Below are 17455 nucleotides of genomic sequence, written 5' to 3' on the forward strand. Positions count from 1 at the left end.
TGTTATATAAACTTACATTTATGGTAGAAATAAAATCTGTAGGGTTCTAAGTCACTCACAAAATCAGAGACAGTAGTTGTTAAAGATATTTCTTATAGTAAAAGTTCAATACCATGTTAGCTTTACTTTCAAAACATGATACTTATATATTTTCCTCTACTAATGGATTTTTATGTTATCTAAATTACTTAGAAATAAGAAATCAATGTGCTTGACTAAATTATATAAATGTACTAAATAAATTATAGCTCAATAAACATAATATGGTATTAGTTATGATGCACATCAACTACACTAAAAGGAAAAATCAATTTTGACATTAGAATATTATAAACCAGCTTTATAACTATAGTCTAAATCTACATTTCCAGTTTCTTTAACATAATAAATAGAATTCTCAGAAAAATAGTATCTAGTATTTCTAGTATTTAAAAACTTACTTGATTTTAGCAATGCAGCAAGAGTGTCTAAAGCAACCCTGTCAACACAACAAGAAAACACAAACAACAACAAAACTAGTAAAATTAATCTACAATAGTAAATTCATACAATCTTTTTCAATAAGTCATTATTCTATTATCTATTCCAAAGTTTACTCTTGTTTAAGATAATTACACATGGTATTTCTCCGTATGCATCTCTCTCTTCAGCTTAAAATTGGATATGAAAAAGATTGAAATATCAATAGATAGGAACAAAAAAAATGTTTTGAGAAAGAAAAAGAAGGAAATTAACAATGTCTAAGTATTTGTCAGAAGTTAGATGAACGGAATCATTCATCAGCCTCTGTATCTGACCTGAGAGTTAACAAAGGAACCACACTATTAAAAATCATACGCCGTGACTTGCAAAGGAATTAAAAACAAATCTTAACACAAGTTCATAACAACAAAATTCTATAGATATTGTCACTTTCTGACTTCAAAGTATTTCCATTCTATCAAGGTATATATCCTCCTATTTAAGGCCATAATAAAGGTAAAATATTTTGGAACTTGAAGGTTGGGGAGAAGTATCAGCCCTTAACATTTTTCAGCTATGACGCACCAAGATGAATAAGAAGCCTAACTAATATCTCAAAAACTCTTACTGTCCCTTAGAGGACAAAGCAATCACCCCCAAAACTGAAAGTATTTAAATTGTATTTGAACGTAAATACTCAGTCACACATAGTGAAATCAACTGCCGTTAATCAGCTGTAAAAATACACATAATATCACCATGGAAAACCTGTAATTCAAATCGTTTATTTTTAATCAGATACTGAAGAAATGGCACTTAATTTCAATAATTTTTAAAATGTAAGGCACATACTATGGTACCTCTTGGTAATACATCAACAATTACAATTAATTTGCATTAAAATTGTGTATATTATGAAACAATCATTTCACTCACCATTAAGCATTTGTTGAATGCCTACTTGATAACCACAGTAGCAAGTTCTTCGTGGTTATAAAATTAGAAAACAAACTTATCTCTTCCACAGATAATTTTACAATCTACATAATGTAATAAAAGAGCACAGCTATGAAAAAACTGCTCAAGAAATTAGAAACATAAAGGAGGTAATAAAGTAAAAGTTGCATACATCAGCAGTACAAGGGAAGTAGCATGACTAGGTGTAGGTAAAGGTAAAGAGCATAACAGATTACAAGACTTAAGATGGGTAGGTAAAGTTCACAGCAAAATCTGAAACAATAATCGAGGACTAGGCACAGGGTAAGTGCTCAACAAATGCCCAGTAAGAGGAAGTTCTTAATGGCTACACTTTTATTTATTGACAAAGATAAAGCAACTGTAAATTTTTATAATAACGAATTTGTAAAATAAGAAATTCATACCTGTAACTTCCTCAAAACAATGTGAAGTGTTGGTGAGTTAAAAATAAACATTATAAAATTTTGTATTAAATTTTCATTGCATTGAATTATCAGTAAGAAACTTTCCATACTTTTTACACTTATGCAATAAAATGTACAGGAGAATATAAAACTATGAGAATAAGGATAGCTTTTAAATTGGTCAAAATTAAACACAAAACTAAATGAATATTCCATATGAGACTGCGATTTATAAAAACTAAAATGGAAAAGAAAACCTCTTCAGCAAGACCTGACAAATGCCAGACACTGTTACAGGTGCTTTATATATGTGTTTTCTAGTTTCCTTCTTAAAACAATTTTGTTCCACAGAACTGAAATATAACATGCCTAGGGCCACATAAAATCTCAATGCAACAGAAAATGAATAATGTAATTATCTTGTTGAGAAAGGAAATTATGCAATCAGAAATGTCAGTCTCCCTTTGAGAAGGCTATCTGAACTTTCACTTCCAGACAAGATGGAGTAACAGAAACCGGATGTACCCTCTCATTTGATGTAATTTTTTAAATGGACAAAATGGAATGGCTGTTTAAGATACTGGATATTAAGCAATGAAAGATAGAGATCCACAGAAATGGCAAAAATGAGATGGGCCCTACAATTGCCCCAGCTTACTACACCTTGAGAAAGCGACCAAGCCACAGCACAGGGAGACAGAACCTAGGTGGAGTCTGGCAGATCCCAAAAGTTCAGCACATGAACTCCCTGATTGAGGACATAGAGGGTCCAGGCAGACCAAGTCGGTTAGAGCTCACAAGGCAGAATACCAGAAAATGAAAGCTGTACAGGGATTTTCAGCGAGTTGTGTTTGAATATTCAGCAAAGTAGTGATCAGCACATGTGTGTGAAGTAACTACTAAGGCTGGGAAAAAGCCATCCAAAAGGACTGCAGAACCACATCTAGTATTCACACAGGGCTGAGAACAGTGCCTATATCCACCAATCACACTGGAAATCCTCATAACTCATGGGGTAGAGTGCTCGGAAGGATTCTGCCTCAGTAGTGGGGAAAAATCAGTCCTAAACAGTGCTTTGATCCCATCTAACAAATGTGAAAAGACATTTACAGATCAAACTATTTCCAACTAACTTAACCACATCCCAGAAAAACCTCAAGAATATTTATAGAAATACAAAAATATCCAGCACTCAACAAGGTGGAATTCACAATGACTGGCACTCAAAAATTATCAAGCATGAAAAAAGCAAGGAAAAAAAGACCCATAATGATGGGGGAAAAAAAAAAAACAATTGAAACAGACCTAGATCTGACATAAACATGAGAAAACATTAAAACACTTATCACAATAGTATTCCACGTGTTCTAGAGGGAAGATTTAACATATTGCAGAAAGACAGTTTTTTTGAAAAGCTACCAATTGATCCAGCCATTCTACTCCTAGATATCTATTCAGCAGAAATAAAAAAATATATGACCATAAAAAGTGTGTGAATGCTTATATACCCAAATAAACATTCACAGCAGCTTTATTTGTAACAGTCAAAAACTAAAAACCCAAATGTCCATTAAGAGGTGAATAAATAAACAAATGACAATACAGCCATATAACTGTGACTACTACTCAACAATAAAAAGGAATAAATTTTTGATATGTGCAACATAAGTGAATCTATAAATAATCATGATACATGGAAGAAGCCAGATCCACCCCACCACAAAAAAGAGTACACACACTATGAATCCATTCATATAAAATTCCTGAACTTACATGTAACCAAATCTACAGTAATAGAAGGCATTGTCATGACTGCTAGGGCCAAAGGGGAGAAGCAAGGGAAGAATTACCAAGGGCACAATAAAGCCTCTGGGGGTGATAGAGATGTTAGCTTGATGTGGTGATAGTTTTTCACAGGTTTAGCCATATATCCAAGACCACATTACGATTTTCATGGGCTCTAGACACTTCTTTGCCTTCATAGGCCCCTCCCTTCAAAAAAGTATTTAAAATTCATATAGCATTTTACAACCGTGTTGGTGTTGGTATAAAGATGAATGAACTAATATCACAAATGAAAACATTTTCTTCAGCCTAAAGTTCATTTTTATATGATTTTTAAAGAAATTAAAACATTTTTATGGGACCCTAGAAGTACTGTGCCTCCCAAGCCTAAAGGCTTTAGCCCAGCCTATGTCCATTCTCATCAAACTGTACACTTTGAATATACAGATTTTATCATGTCAACTACATCTCAGAAACGTATTTTTAAAAACAGAAGTCAATCTAATATAACAGAAACTAAGTAAACCCCTCTTCCTATGGTTACTCTGTTTAATTTCTACATGTTATAAATCCCTTCTATTTAAAAAGTGATTAAGAAAGCTGAGACAAAATATTTACTCCCCAAGGCACTAAACAATCTGCTGATTAATCATGTTAAGAAGGTCTCAAGACTCACTGCATTACATGTATTATCTAAAGTACCAGACTCCACTTACCATTCAATGCAATATGTTTCTTACCATTACTAAGAAGCCTTCTTTGTCAACTTTTATTCGAGACTACCATGATCCATCAAAAACTTTAACTTCTATGTATACACATAGATGTCAAGTTTTGTGAAAGACTATGCAAACTATGCAAAGTTAAGACACAGCTAACACAGAACACACTGAAAGATCACAAATTGTGCTTACTGCTAAGTACATGCAGTTAATCACTGTTATGGGTTGAATTGTGTTCAAAAAGGTATGTTGAAGTCCCAACCCCCAATACCTCCAAATATGACCTTATTGGAAAACATGGTCATTGCAGATGTAACTAGTTAAGGCAAGGTCATACTGGAGTAGGTGGGCCCTTAATACAACAGACTGGTGCTGTTATAAGGAGAGAGAAGACAATGTGAAGACAAACACAAAAGGGGAGAGTGCCATGTGATGATGGAGGCAAAAACCGAAATGCTATGGCTGCAAGCCTAGGAACACCAAAGATTGCCAGCAAACCACCAGAAGCTAGGAAGAAGCAAGGAAGGATGCTCCCTTCCAGGTTTCAGAGGGAGCATGGCCCTGCTGACAAGTTGATTTTGGACTTCCAGCCTCTGGAACTATAAAACAATAAATTTCTGTTGTTTTGAGCCACTCAGTATTGGACTTTGTTATGACAGCCCTAGAAAACTAATATAATAACTTACATGCAATCACTTACAATGAACTCATAAGACCTTCCTTTCTACAGCTAATTCTTTATTCAAAATTGTAAAAATCTTAGAGTACTTTCAGAAACTCTTTCTCCCTACTGGTAGTTGTTTACAACTGTTTAAACCAAATAAAAGTACTTCTGACAGTTTCTAATCCTAAAATAGAACATTTTTTTCTGTTGATGTTTATTTTTCAACACTGGAAAGCTGGGATATGAACCCAGTTCTTTCAGATGGCAACACCCATTGTGTATGTTTCTTATTATTTCCAGTAGATTAAAAGATATAGTCAAGTTTGGTGCAAAGTCATTTGTAAATTTTTACCAAATGTTATTTAAGAGTTATTTTTAGAACTTTACCACAAAGAAATTTCTGAAATTCTATAACACTTATAAGCCAGAGTAAATTAATGTTACAAAAGAATTTTAAAATGTTAGATTTATTGAAATGCATAGTTTGTAGTTAATTAATTAAAATTTCTCAGTATAAATAATTTATACTTCCTCATATATTTTTCCAGTCTTCATATTTCCACAAAGAATACTACAAGCAACAATAATTCAAAAAGTAGTCTGTGGCTTAGATTTAGGAGATGTGAAGGAAAAAAAGCTTAAGTCCCCAGGTACTAATGAAGTGACATCTACTTTCAATTCTGGGTCAGTCCTTGCAATGACTTCCAAACCTATGGGGAAACTCAAAAAGATACAGTTAAAATAACCTCCTGAGTTGCTTCCTTCTAGATTAACAGTTTTAAATCCAAAACCTAAAATTAAAAAGGAGAGGAAGCATAACCCTCCAAATACAACTCTTCCTCAATCGTCTTCCCATTAAATGTGGAGCATTGTTTAAAGGGAGGAAGAAATACAACAGAAAGCGTTAGATGTCTGAGGTTTTTAGTTAATTAGAGGAGAGACCCTCAGATTACTAAAAATGATAAGAGATCAAGATATAGCAAGTTTGGTCAATGAATGGCTTGTTCTTTTTAAAGTAAAAATAAAGTAAAAGATTATTTTTCCTTTTTAAAGTAGAAATAGAAAAATAATGCATAATTCATCTTTTCTCTGATGTTTTAGATCCACTGATTTCCATAAGGTTTTGGATATACCCCATGTGGTATATTATAAAGATCCTTTTGAAATGCTCCATTTCATTTCCCCTGGAAACATTTTATATTAGATTTGACAACTTGGTTATAATAGAGCATAAAGTACATCTTAAGTAGGAGATCATGGCCATTATATAAAAAATAAATTATAAAATGCAGTACCGATTAAAGGGAGAAACAGCAAATAAATAAAAGCATAACTAATGTACTTTTAGTGTTAGCTAGGAATCATTCATACACACACTACTACATTGCTTATCTAAACTGTATTACATTAATACAGGCATTGTGCTAATTACAGGAATCATATCATTACAACCTTATAATAGAGATGCTAAATATTATTACAATTTTACAGACAGGAAACTGGGGCATAATAAATTAAGTAACTTACTTGTATCCTAGGGCCAGTAAATGATAGAGCTAACATGCAAATCCAAGTCTGTCTGCCTGCAGAGCCCACTCTAAACCACCATAAGACACCAATATTCTGTGTTACTGATTGTGATACAAACATTTTGTTTGCTTTGTTACATTTCATCAGATACTCTGGGATTGTGTATAATTCTTACACAGCTGTAACTATGTTGTCATCCCACCAAATAATATTTAATAAATAGTCATATGTGCAAGTAAGCTCAGAAAATATTTTAAAATATTTGACCCTTATTAAGAAAGGGTGAAAACACTGGAAATGTCCTGAACCCTATTTAAGAGTAAAGTCAAATCAAATAGTTCATGTGGACAAGTTCTTCATTACAAAAGATTCACAGCTAATAAACACAGGAAAAAAATAAAACTAGATAAGTTATTATTTTCCAACCACTAATGAAATAACAGATACAGGCAGTGTCATGAATGACTGCTAAATCACTAAGTGAAAAGTGGATGGGGACATTTCTAATGGGTAGATAACCTCAACTCAATTATCTTAAGTGACATAAAACAAAGTTGCCAGCTCCACCTATGAAATATTTTTGACCAGAAAAAACAAACCAGAACCCCAAATCTAATCAAGCCACAGTTTTATCAGTCTACAGAAAATGTAAGGGATATACTCATATGTTAAATAACTTCAGGATATAGTCATTGTAAGCCAGAACGTGTGACATTTTAAAAGACCTATCACTGAAGACCTTCAACAAATAAAACAAAACCAAAAAACAGGGAAACTTTTTTTTATTTCAAAAGATTATGAGACATATCAATCAAATATAATGTATAGACTTAATTGAAGCCCTGAACAAGCAAGCCAACTGTAAAAAAAAAAAAAAAAAAGCATTTCCTAATCAGAAAATATCAGATATTAAGAAATTACCGTTAATATTGTTGGGCACAGAAAAGACAACTGCGGTAACACTAAAAGAGAAAAGATCTGTAATTGACAGTGATCATATTAAAGAATTTACAGCTCAAATATAATGGCTGATATCTGCTTTAAAATACGCTAGGAAAAAAGAAAAACAGAAAGAAAAATAAAATTAAAATGACAGATTTTTGATAGTACAACTGGGTAACAGGTACATCAGAGTTCATTATATTATCCTCTCTACATTTGTGTAGGCTTGGAAATTTCCTAAATATAATGAAGAATAATGTATGCATCTTGTTTGGATTCTGATTCAAACAAACCAACTAAAAAGGGGCTATTTTGAGACAACTGGAGAAAATCAAACAACAGACCAGATTTTAGATTGTATTAAGTAAGTATCAGGAGGGAGAGGTGGGAGCATCACTTGAGCCTAGGAATTTGAGGCTACAGTGTGCCATGATCATGCCACTGCACTCCAGCCTAGGCAACAGAGAGAGACTCCATTTCAAAAAAAAAAAAGAAATTAATAATTTTGTTGGCTATGATTGTAGTATTCTGGTTATTTTTAAGTCCTTATTTAGTAGAATTATATACTGAGGTATTTAGAAAATAAATGATAGTATTCAAAGAAAATAATCCAAGAGAAAATATCTAGGATCTGCTTATAGAAATACACACACATTTATGTATATATAAAATACCTGAGATTTCTTAAAAGTACCCCAGGAAAAACAAACAAACAAAAGTGTGGAGTGGAAACAAATGAAACAAAAATGGTGGAATGTTCAGAATTGTTAAACACAACAAGTAATTAATATAACTCAATATAATCAGTTTAATATAAACTCTATTTTATGTATGTTTTAAAAATTCCACAATAAAAAAAAATTTTAAAGAAAGACCTCTAAAATGGCTTAAGAAAATATTAAACTGTAACCAATAAATGAGACATGGCTTTCATTTTCTGAGGCTGAAAGGCCTAGGAATGAATAAAAATACATACATACATACATGTGTGTGTGTGTGTGTGTGTGTGTGTGTGTGTGTGTGTGTATACATACACACACACACACACACACACACATCTCAGGATGGGGGAAAAAGAATGATGTGATTTTGACAAAATAGAAATGTATCAATTTAAGATTGTTCAGGTATTCATAAGAATGAAAAAGTCATTACAAGATTGTAAAATTGGGTGAGAAATATAGTAGGCACTCAATAAATGTTTCTGAATGAATACTCTATAGATAATCTTTTTTCCTTTTACAGTATCTAGAAATGTTCAGTCTAAGTTACTATAAACATTATATTCAATGAAGTCAAAACTGTCCAATTTTGAGATATTTGTGAAGATTAAATTTTATACTAAAGAAAATCTTTATCATGATAAAATCATTATTTAAGAACTAAGAAATGAAATAACCCTGGAGACAATTTAATTCAACCTGCTCATTGTACATATCAAGATAATGAGGCCCAGAGTAACAAAGGCTATACCTATGTTTACATTCAAAACATTTACTCACTTTATAAGACTGGAATTCTTCTTACTAAATGGTCCAATGATTTTAAACATCAGTTCCACAACTCCATTTTTCCCTAAGGATACTGAATTCACAGCTGAGAGGGGGAGAAAGAGATGCAAAATTATTTTAAGGTTTGACAACCAAAAATGTGTATACTTAGTGATACATAGGCAAAAACATATACAAATTGTTTAGTAAATGTCAACTCAAGTCACCTTAAAGTCCATCTAAGCTAACCACATGAAGAAATAGTGTTTTTTGTTTTTGCTTTGTTATGGAAAGTGCAGGGAAATTCTGAAACGAGTTATATGCAAAAAAAAAAAAAAACCACTATTATAAAAAAAATTCTTCAGTTACTCTATATTTCTCTAATAAATTTAGTGAACCTCACTGAACACCAGGTTATGGGGATTCCGAAACAAGAATAAAATCTCTGACCTCAAAGAACAAAGTGTAGAGAGAATGACAGAAACAATAAACAAATAATTACTAAATTACTTTCAAAATAGATCAAGAGTTGTAGACTATTTGGATTACACCATTGAGAAGTTCCTAATTCAGAGTGAGACAGACATTTCTGGAGAAAATGATGCCTAGGCTCAGTCTTTAAAAGTGAGTAGTAGTTAGGGCAGGAGTAGAGGTAAAGGGGTAGATGTGGCTCTGGACACAGGAATAATACAAACAGAACGAAGACAATGAACATCACAATGTGAGCAGTTACATAATGTTAAACACAGAGTATCAAGAAAAGATACACAAATAGGAAGATGAGGTAGAAAAAGATGAGAAATTATGAAGGGCCCTAGAAGTTGTTAATTCTTTTGACTATGGGGAATCACGCAAAAGGAACATATCAGATGTGAATTTTAAATAAATAGGTCAGAATTCAAAGAACTCTGAGGAAGCTGGTTTTGAAAGACACATTAGGAGGCTATGGTCTAGGTAACAGGTAATGAGGACTTTAATTAAAGCAAGTGTAGCAGGGAAAAAGATGGAACAATTTCAGTATTTAATATGGAATATACAAATAATTACCTAACCAGAAAACTGTGCTAAACATTTTTAATTCTGAACAGATGTTATTAAATATATTGTAGAACCAGGGACAATGGCATGTGCCTGTAGTCTTAGCTGCTTGGGAGGCTGAAGCAGGAGGATCGCTTAAGGCCAGGAGTTCAAAGCCAGCCTGAGATGTATAGCAAGACCCTGTCTCTAAAAGAAAATCGTTTAATAAACAATTTTTAAATTATAGATAAGCCATCTGCTAGCCTTCTATTGGTTAATCCAATAAAATGCCACCAAAAATGTAGCTCCTAATATTTCGTAGGATGATCTTAATTTTCTCTGTTTATTACTCCGTTATCCCTTCTAATTTCATGTCTATACTGTATTCCTTTGACCTTGATTGAAGTATTTGGTGGTTTAGCTGTTTTATTTTTACATTTGGGGGTTTTTGTTGCATTGTTGTTGTTTTTGAGACAGGGTCCTGCTGTGTTGCCCAAGCTGGAATGCAGTGGTGCAGTCATGGCTCACTGCAGCCTTAACCTCCTGGGCTCAAGAAATCCTCCCACCTTAGCTTCCTGAGTAGCTGAGACTGCAGGCACACATCACCACAACTAGCCAATTTTTTCCTTTTTTTTTTTTGTAGAAATGGCATCTCACTATGTTGCCCAGGCTGGTTGCAAACTCCTGGCCTCAAGCGGTCCTTCTGCCTAGCCTCTGAAGTGCTGGGATTACAGCCATGTGCGACTGTACCAGTGTATTTTATTTTTAATCCAATACAGTTTTATTTTTTAAATCAACTGCTTTTCTATTTTCTAATGCATATTTTTCCTTTTACCTTTACTATTTCATTTCTTGACTTTACTGGTGTTTATTTCTCTGTTCTTAACTTCATTGGTTAGATATCTAATTCATTTGTTTCCTTATGTTCTTTTTAATTACATGTTAGTTATTTAAGTGTTCTAAGCTGTTTTCCACAGAGCACACCTTTAGCCATATTTTAAAGGTACTGATATACACACACAGAGACATATACATAAGCTTATGTATGTTTATATATTACATATATGTATATACGCAATATACACACATATCTAGCACTCTATCATTATTTTGCAATGATATTCTGCAATAACATATATTCTGCAATTCAATCTTAGGTTCTTTCATTAACCACTTCAATTCTGCAATCAGAGAATAGAAAAAAAAATCCACACCTCATGCGTGGAACCTCGTGTTAGTGAGAGTGTGTGTTTTGGGAGACATTTTATCTGAGTCTGTCTCTCTGTGAGCCCTCTTCTCTCTAGCTTCTCAGAGGTTCCCATACTAGTTATTTTCAGTTCTGCTACTTCCCTATTGATTGCTGAAGAGAATTAGCTCCAGGTGACTATGCTACTGCATCCTTTCCTTCTAGGCTTTCTCCTCTCATCTGTGACAGTCTAAAGAGGCACAGGAGTTTTTCCAGCTACCAATACCCTCATATTCTTCCACATCTTTTCTACAGGCTGCCTAGTCATCCTCCTCACTCCTATCCTTTATAAATTGGAGAAATTAGTTAGAATGTTCAAGGTTTTACCAACTTAACCTTTTTTTTTTTTGGTTGAGACGGAGTCTTGCTCTATCACCCAGGCTGGAGTGCAATGGCACAATCTCAGCTCATTGCAACCTCCACTTCCCAGGTTCAAATGATTCTCCTACCTCAGCCTCCCAAATAGTCAGGATTAGGCGCCCACCACCATGCCCAGCTAATTTTTGTATTTTTATTAGAGACAGAGTTTCCCCATGTCGGTCAGGCTGGTCTCAAACTCCTGACCTCAGGTGATCCGCCCGCCTTGGCCTCCCAAAGTGCTGGGATTACAGGCATGAGCCACCATGCACAGACCAACTTAACCTTACCCCACATCACTTTTGTTGTGGTTGGAGTCAAGAGTTAAAATGAGCCATATTAAATCTTCTCTTTCCTTTTTCACAAATATCAGAGGTTTACAGAATCAGGATACTTTAAAATTCTTTTTGTGTAACTTTACAACACTGAGTTAACTAAAAGCCACCTAAATACTCACAGTTGGCAGAATATACTCGTAAAAGCTGAAGGCAAGGTAGAACCAAGCGATGATTCTGCAAATTCTGCTTGACCAAATTCAGGGTTATATTCAGAGCCCCATTAATTCTAGCCTTTACTCCAAATTTTTTATCTGTTTAAAAAAAAAAAAGACAATTTATGCACATACAACTTTTCTTTTTAATTTTTTTTTTTTTTTTTTTTGAGACAGAGTCTTGCTCTGTCATCCAGGCTGGAGTGCAGTGGCTCCATCTCAGCTCACTGCAACCTCTGGCTCCCAGGTTGAAGCAATTCTCCTGCCTCTGCCTCCTGAGTAGCTGGGATTACAGGCACCCACCACCACACTGGGTTAATTTTTGGATTTTTAGTGGAGACGGGCTTTCGCCATGTTGGCCAGGCTGGTCTGAAACTCCTGACCTCAAGTGATCTGCCCGCCTTGGCCTCCCAAAGTGCTGAGATTACACGTGTGAGTCACTGTGCCTGGCCCACATGTAAGTTTTGAATGAAATGATGATATTATAAATCAGTGATGTAAATTTTAAATTTACATTATGAATTAATTTTATGAAATATAAAGTTGGCCTGAAAAGAATAAAATTATAATCCTTTTTTGTATTATTTTTAAAATAAAACATCCCTTTTATTTTAAAACATTAGTTGAAAGAATGTACTAAGAAACAGACAGGGGGATAGGGAAGGAGGATGGAGGCTAGAGTAGCCCAACACTTAGACTGTCATTAAAAAAAACTGAACTGCTCCACTACACATATACATTTGTCTAGTTCAACACACTTCCCAGAACACCAACACAGAGTTAAAAGGAACAAAATCCAAATGTCCATTACAATAATACTTAATATGAACCATATTCTTTTCTGACTTGTAAAAAAATAAAAATTCATTTAAAAAATTAACAGCTTATGTAGAAAATAATCTGGCAAATATTACCAAATAAATTTCTAAAGGGAAATAATTCTTAACACAGGAAGGGAAGAAAAGATGTTCTTAATTTTTATTCTCATGAAGAGATTAAAACAGTAAAAAAAATTTTAAATAAGAAGAACTTAAGAATGTTAAGATTTATAGTAGACATTGGAGATACAAAAAGTGGCAGGGTGGGTGAGGGGTGAAGGTTGAAAAATTACCTGTTAGCTACAATGTTCACTATTCAGGTAATGGGTATATTAAATGCCCAGACTTCCCCACTATACAATACTACATGTAAGAAATCTGCACTTGTACTCCACTATATAAAACTACAAATAAAAATGAATTTTAAAAAAGACTTAAGGCAGGGCGCGGTGGCTCACGCCTGTAATCCCAGCACTTTGGGAGGCTGAGGTGGGTGGATCATGAGGTCAGAAGATCCAGACCATCCTGGCTAACATGGTGAAACCCCGTCTCTATTAAAAATACAAAAAAAAATTAGCCAGGCGTGGTGGCGGGCGCCTGCAGTCCCAACTACTCTGGAGGCTGAGGCAGGAGAATGGCATGAACCCAGGAGGAGGAGCTTGCAGTGAGCCGAGATCGTACCACTGCACTCCAGCCTGGGCAACTGAGCAAGACTCCATCTTAAAAAAAAAAAAAAAAAAGACTTAAACAAAGTAAATAGGACCAGCAAACAAATAATTTTAAATCAAAATAACTCAATATTCCTGAGGAAAAATTATTTTACCTCACTAGAAAAATAAAAAGAATAGAAAAATCACTCAAGAAATTACCATATAATGTCCTTGAATGACATAAAAATGGGAAACTAGGGCAAACCATAAAGGAAATAGCCCAAATTTAAAAGAATATATAAGAGAAAATAAATATGACCTAAAACTTAAAAGGGATATTAAAGAATGATAAATATTTTTAAAATCAATATCTTAATTTCATGAAAAGTAGAAGATAACCTAGTTCTAATTAGAAGAGAAAGCATAACAATACTCATCAATAAATAAGGGGTTTTTTTTAAATGAATTTTCTGCCAAATTATGGTTTTCTTATTTTTTCATTTTCATTTTCCACAAAAATCTCAAAAGGGAGTCTTTAAATCTTAAATACAAGAGCTAAAGAAAAATAAGAGACAGCTAACATATTCCTTAAATAAACTAAATACATCTTTAAGTCTTAAGGCTCCTAATATACCTGGAAAATTAAAGTCACTTCAGGGTTCCTTTCTTTAAAACAACACCTATAAAAACTACTAATTACTTATACAATACATAAAGATATGCTAGAAATACGTATGTTAATAAATACACAAACTATGTACACACGCATCCTCATTTTTTCCAATAAGCATTTTAGCCAAATACTCAAAGTTTAAAACTCACATGTATGCCACAGGCAAAGGCAAAACTCTTTTTTTTCTTTTTGAGACAGAGTCTCGCTCTGTCACCCAAGCTGGAGTGCAGTGGTACGATCTCGGCTCACTGCAACCTCCACCACCCAGGTTCAAGCAATTCTCCTGCCTCAGCCTCCTGAGTAGCTGGGATTACAGGTAGGCGCCACCATGCCTGGCTAATTTTTTGTATTTTTAGTAGAGATGGGGTTTCAGCATGCTGGCCAGGCTGACCTCAAACTCCTGACCTCGTGATCTGCCCACCTTGGCCTCTCAAAGTGCTGGGATTACAGGCATGAGACACCGTACCCGGCCAAAGGCAAAACTCTTAAAACACAATTCTAATAATTTAAGGAATTATTTTAATCTTTGTGCAAGTAGACAACCGTAAACTGAACTTGAGTTCTAGTCAAAGGGTGCCTTCCTTAGTTAACCTAACCTTAATCAGCTTCTTCCTTTGTTCTATATCCTATTTTTCCCAATTTGCATTTTTTAATATTTCACGTGTCTTACTGTTGTAATAACTGGTCTCATAATTTTTCTATTTTTGTCTTCTTAACTAAGATTGTAAGTTTCCTGAGCATTCACACTATGCAGCACAAATATGACTATTAAAGAAAGCAGTGACATATTTTACCTCCATGTTTTTCAAAACATTCTCATCCATACTCCTTCCTTCTAGCCTCAACAATACCCATATTGCATGTATCCTTTACAAACACACTTGAGAGGGCACACACACACTCCAAGACACACTTGTGACCCAAAACTTTTTCTTTTTTCTACCACATGCAATAGAATTCCTCATAAATTTTGGATCCTCAGTTACTGCAGGTCACTAGTTGACTATAAAAAACCATTTCGGCTGGGTGCGGTGGCTCACGCCTGTAATCTCAGCACTTTGGGAGGCCAAGGTGGGCGGATCATGAGGTCTGGAGTTTGAGACCATCCTGGCCAACATGGTGAAACCCCGTCTCTACTAAAAATACAAAAAATTAGACGGGTATGGTGGCACATGCCTGTAGTCCCAGCTACTCGGGAGGCTGAGGCAGGAGAATCACTTGAAACCAGGAGGCAGAGGTTGCAGTGAGCCCAGATCACACCACTGCACTCCAGCCTGGTGACACAGTGAGCCTCCGTCTCAAAAATAAAAAAAAACATTTCATTACTAAGTCTAAGAAAAAGCTGTAGCATGTTAGATTGTAAAAATTAAGCACTCTCCATAAGAAAACATTGGAGAAATGCTTCCGGATATTGGTCTGGGCAAAATTTAGTAAGACCTGGAAAGCATAGGTAATCAAAGCAGAAACTGACAAATGAGATGGTATCAAGCTAAAAAGCTTCTGAACAGCAAAGGAAACAATCAACAAAGTGAAGAGATAACCTACAGAATGGGAGGAAATACTTACAGACTACTCATCTGACAAGAGATTAAAAAACCAGAATATATAAGGAACTCAAATAGCTCAACAGCAAAAAAAAAGAGAAAGGATTTTTTAAATGGGCAAAAGATCTGAATAAACATTCTCAAAAGAAAATATATAAATGGGCAATGGGTATAGATAAAAACGCTCAACATTACTAATCGTTAGGGAAATGCAAATCAAAATCATAATGAGATACCATCTCATCCCAGTTAAAACAGCTGTTATCAAGAAGACAGAAAATAATAAATGCTGGTGAGGATAAGGAACTCTCACACACTGCAAAAATCTAAGTTACTACAGCCACTATGGAAAACAGTATGGGGGTTCCCCAAAAAACTAAAAATAGAATTACCAGATGATCTAGCAGTCCTACTGTTGGGTATATATCCAAACGAAAGGAAATAAGTATATTGAAGAATATCTGCATTCCCATGTTTACTGCTGCACTATTCACAAAAGCCAAGGTATGGAATCAACCTAGGTGTCCATCAGTGAATGAATATATAAAGAAAATGCGGTTTATTTACACAATAGAATACTATTCAACCATAAAAAAATGAAATCCTGTCATTTGCAGCAACATGGATGGAACTGGAGGACATTATGTTAAGTGAAATAAGACAGGCACAGAAAGATAAATATCAATGTTCTCTTTCATATGCAGAAGCTAAAAAAACTGATCTCATGAAAGGAGTGAATAGAATAGTGGTTATCAGAGGCTAGCAAGGGTAATGGAGAGCGGGAGATAAGGAGGAGTTTGTTAAATGGATACAAAAATACATTTCAATAGAAGGAATAACATCCAGTGGTAACACAATAGGGCAAGTATAGCTAATAATAATTTATTATATATTTTAAAATAGCTATAAGAGAAGATATGGAATGATCCCAACACAAAGAAATAATGAATGTTTGAGGTGATGGATACCCCATGTACCCAGATTTGATCATTACACATACATTTTTATCAAAATATCATGTGTACCCCCATAAACATGTACAATTATTGTGTATCCATAGAAATTTAAAATAAATAACATTTTTAAAAACTGAGTAGTTACAAGGTGAGAGAATCACTGTTACAAAAATAGTTCTAGATACAATAATCATACAAATGAAATCCCTTACCTTTTGGTCCAATCTTTGCAAGAATAGAATGAATCTGTACCATTAAGTCCTCATGTGGGGGAGATTCTTTGCTGGCATTCATAAGTAACTGCAACAATATTTGTGAACCACCTTTGGTGACTAAGAAACTCACTCTTCGACCTCCACCTAAAAATTAAAAAAAAAAAAAATTTAAACAACAAATTAAAAAAAAATTAACAAATTTAAACAAACATATTAGGTATCATAACTTGTTAGCATTCAAGAAATGGTTAAAACTGATGACCTCTAAAATCAAACAAATAAGGCTGGGCGCAGTAGCTCACGCCTGTAATCACAGCACTTAGGGAGGCCGAGGCAGGCAGATTCACCTGAGGTCAGGAGTTCAAGACCAGCCTATCCAACATGGTGAAACCCCGTCTCAACTAAAAATACAAAAATTAGCCAGGCATGGTGGCGCACACCTATAATCCCAGCTACTTGGGAGTCTGAGGCAGGAGAATCTCTTGAACCTAGGAGGCAGAGGTGGCAGTGGG

General features: G+C 34.5%; 1 protein-coding gene across 24 annotated transcripts in view; it reads right to left on the minus strand.

Annotated features, from left to right (window-relative positions):
• AGTPBP1 (ATP/GTP binding carboxypeptidase 1) overlaps positions 1-17455 on the minus strand; it is a 258945-nt gene that overhangs the window by 113957 nt on the left and 127533 nt on the right. For all 24 annotated transcript variants that reach the window (XM_047423094.1, XM_047423090.1, XM_047423089.1 and 21 more), the window contains 4 exons: positions 16941-17087; positions 12055-12186; positions 8990-9083; positions 441-478 (listed from right to left, as the gene is read on the minus strand). In XM_047423094.1, coding sequence (XP_047279050.1) covers positions 441-478; positions 8990-9083; positions 12055-12186; positions 16941-17087 — 411 coding nt within the window. The remainder of the gene's footprint in view (positions 1-440; positions 479-8989; positions 9084-12054; positions 12187-16940; positions 17088-17455) is intronic.

This window comes from Homo sapiens, chromosome 9 (assembly GCF_000001405.40).
Source record: "Homo sapiens chromosome 9, GRCh38.p14 Primary Assembly".
Classification (NCBI taxonomy): Eukaryota; Metazoa; Chordata; class Mammalia; order Primates; family Hominidae; genus Homo; species Homo sapiens.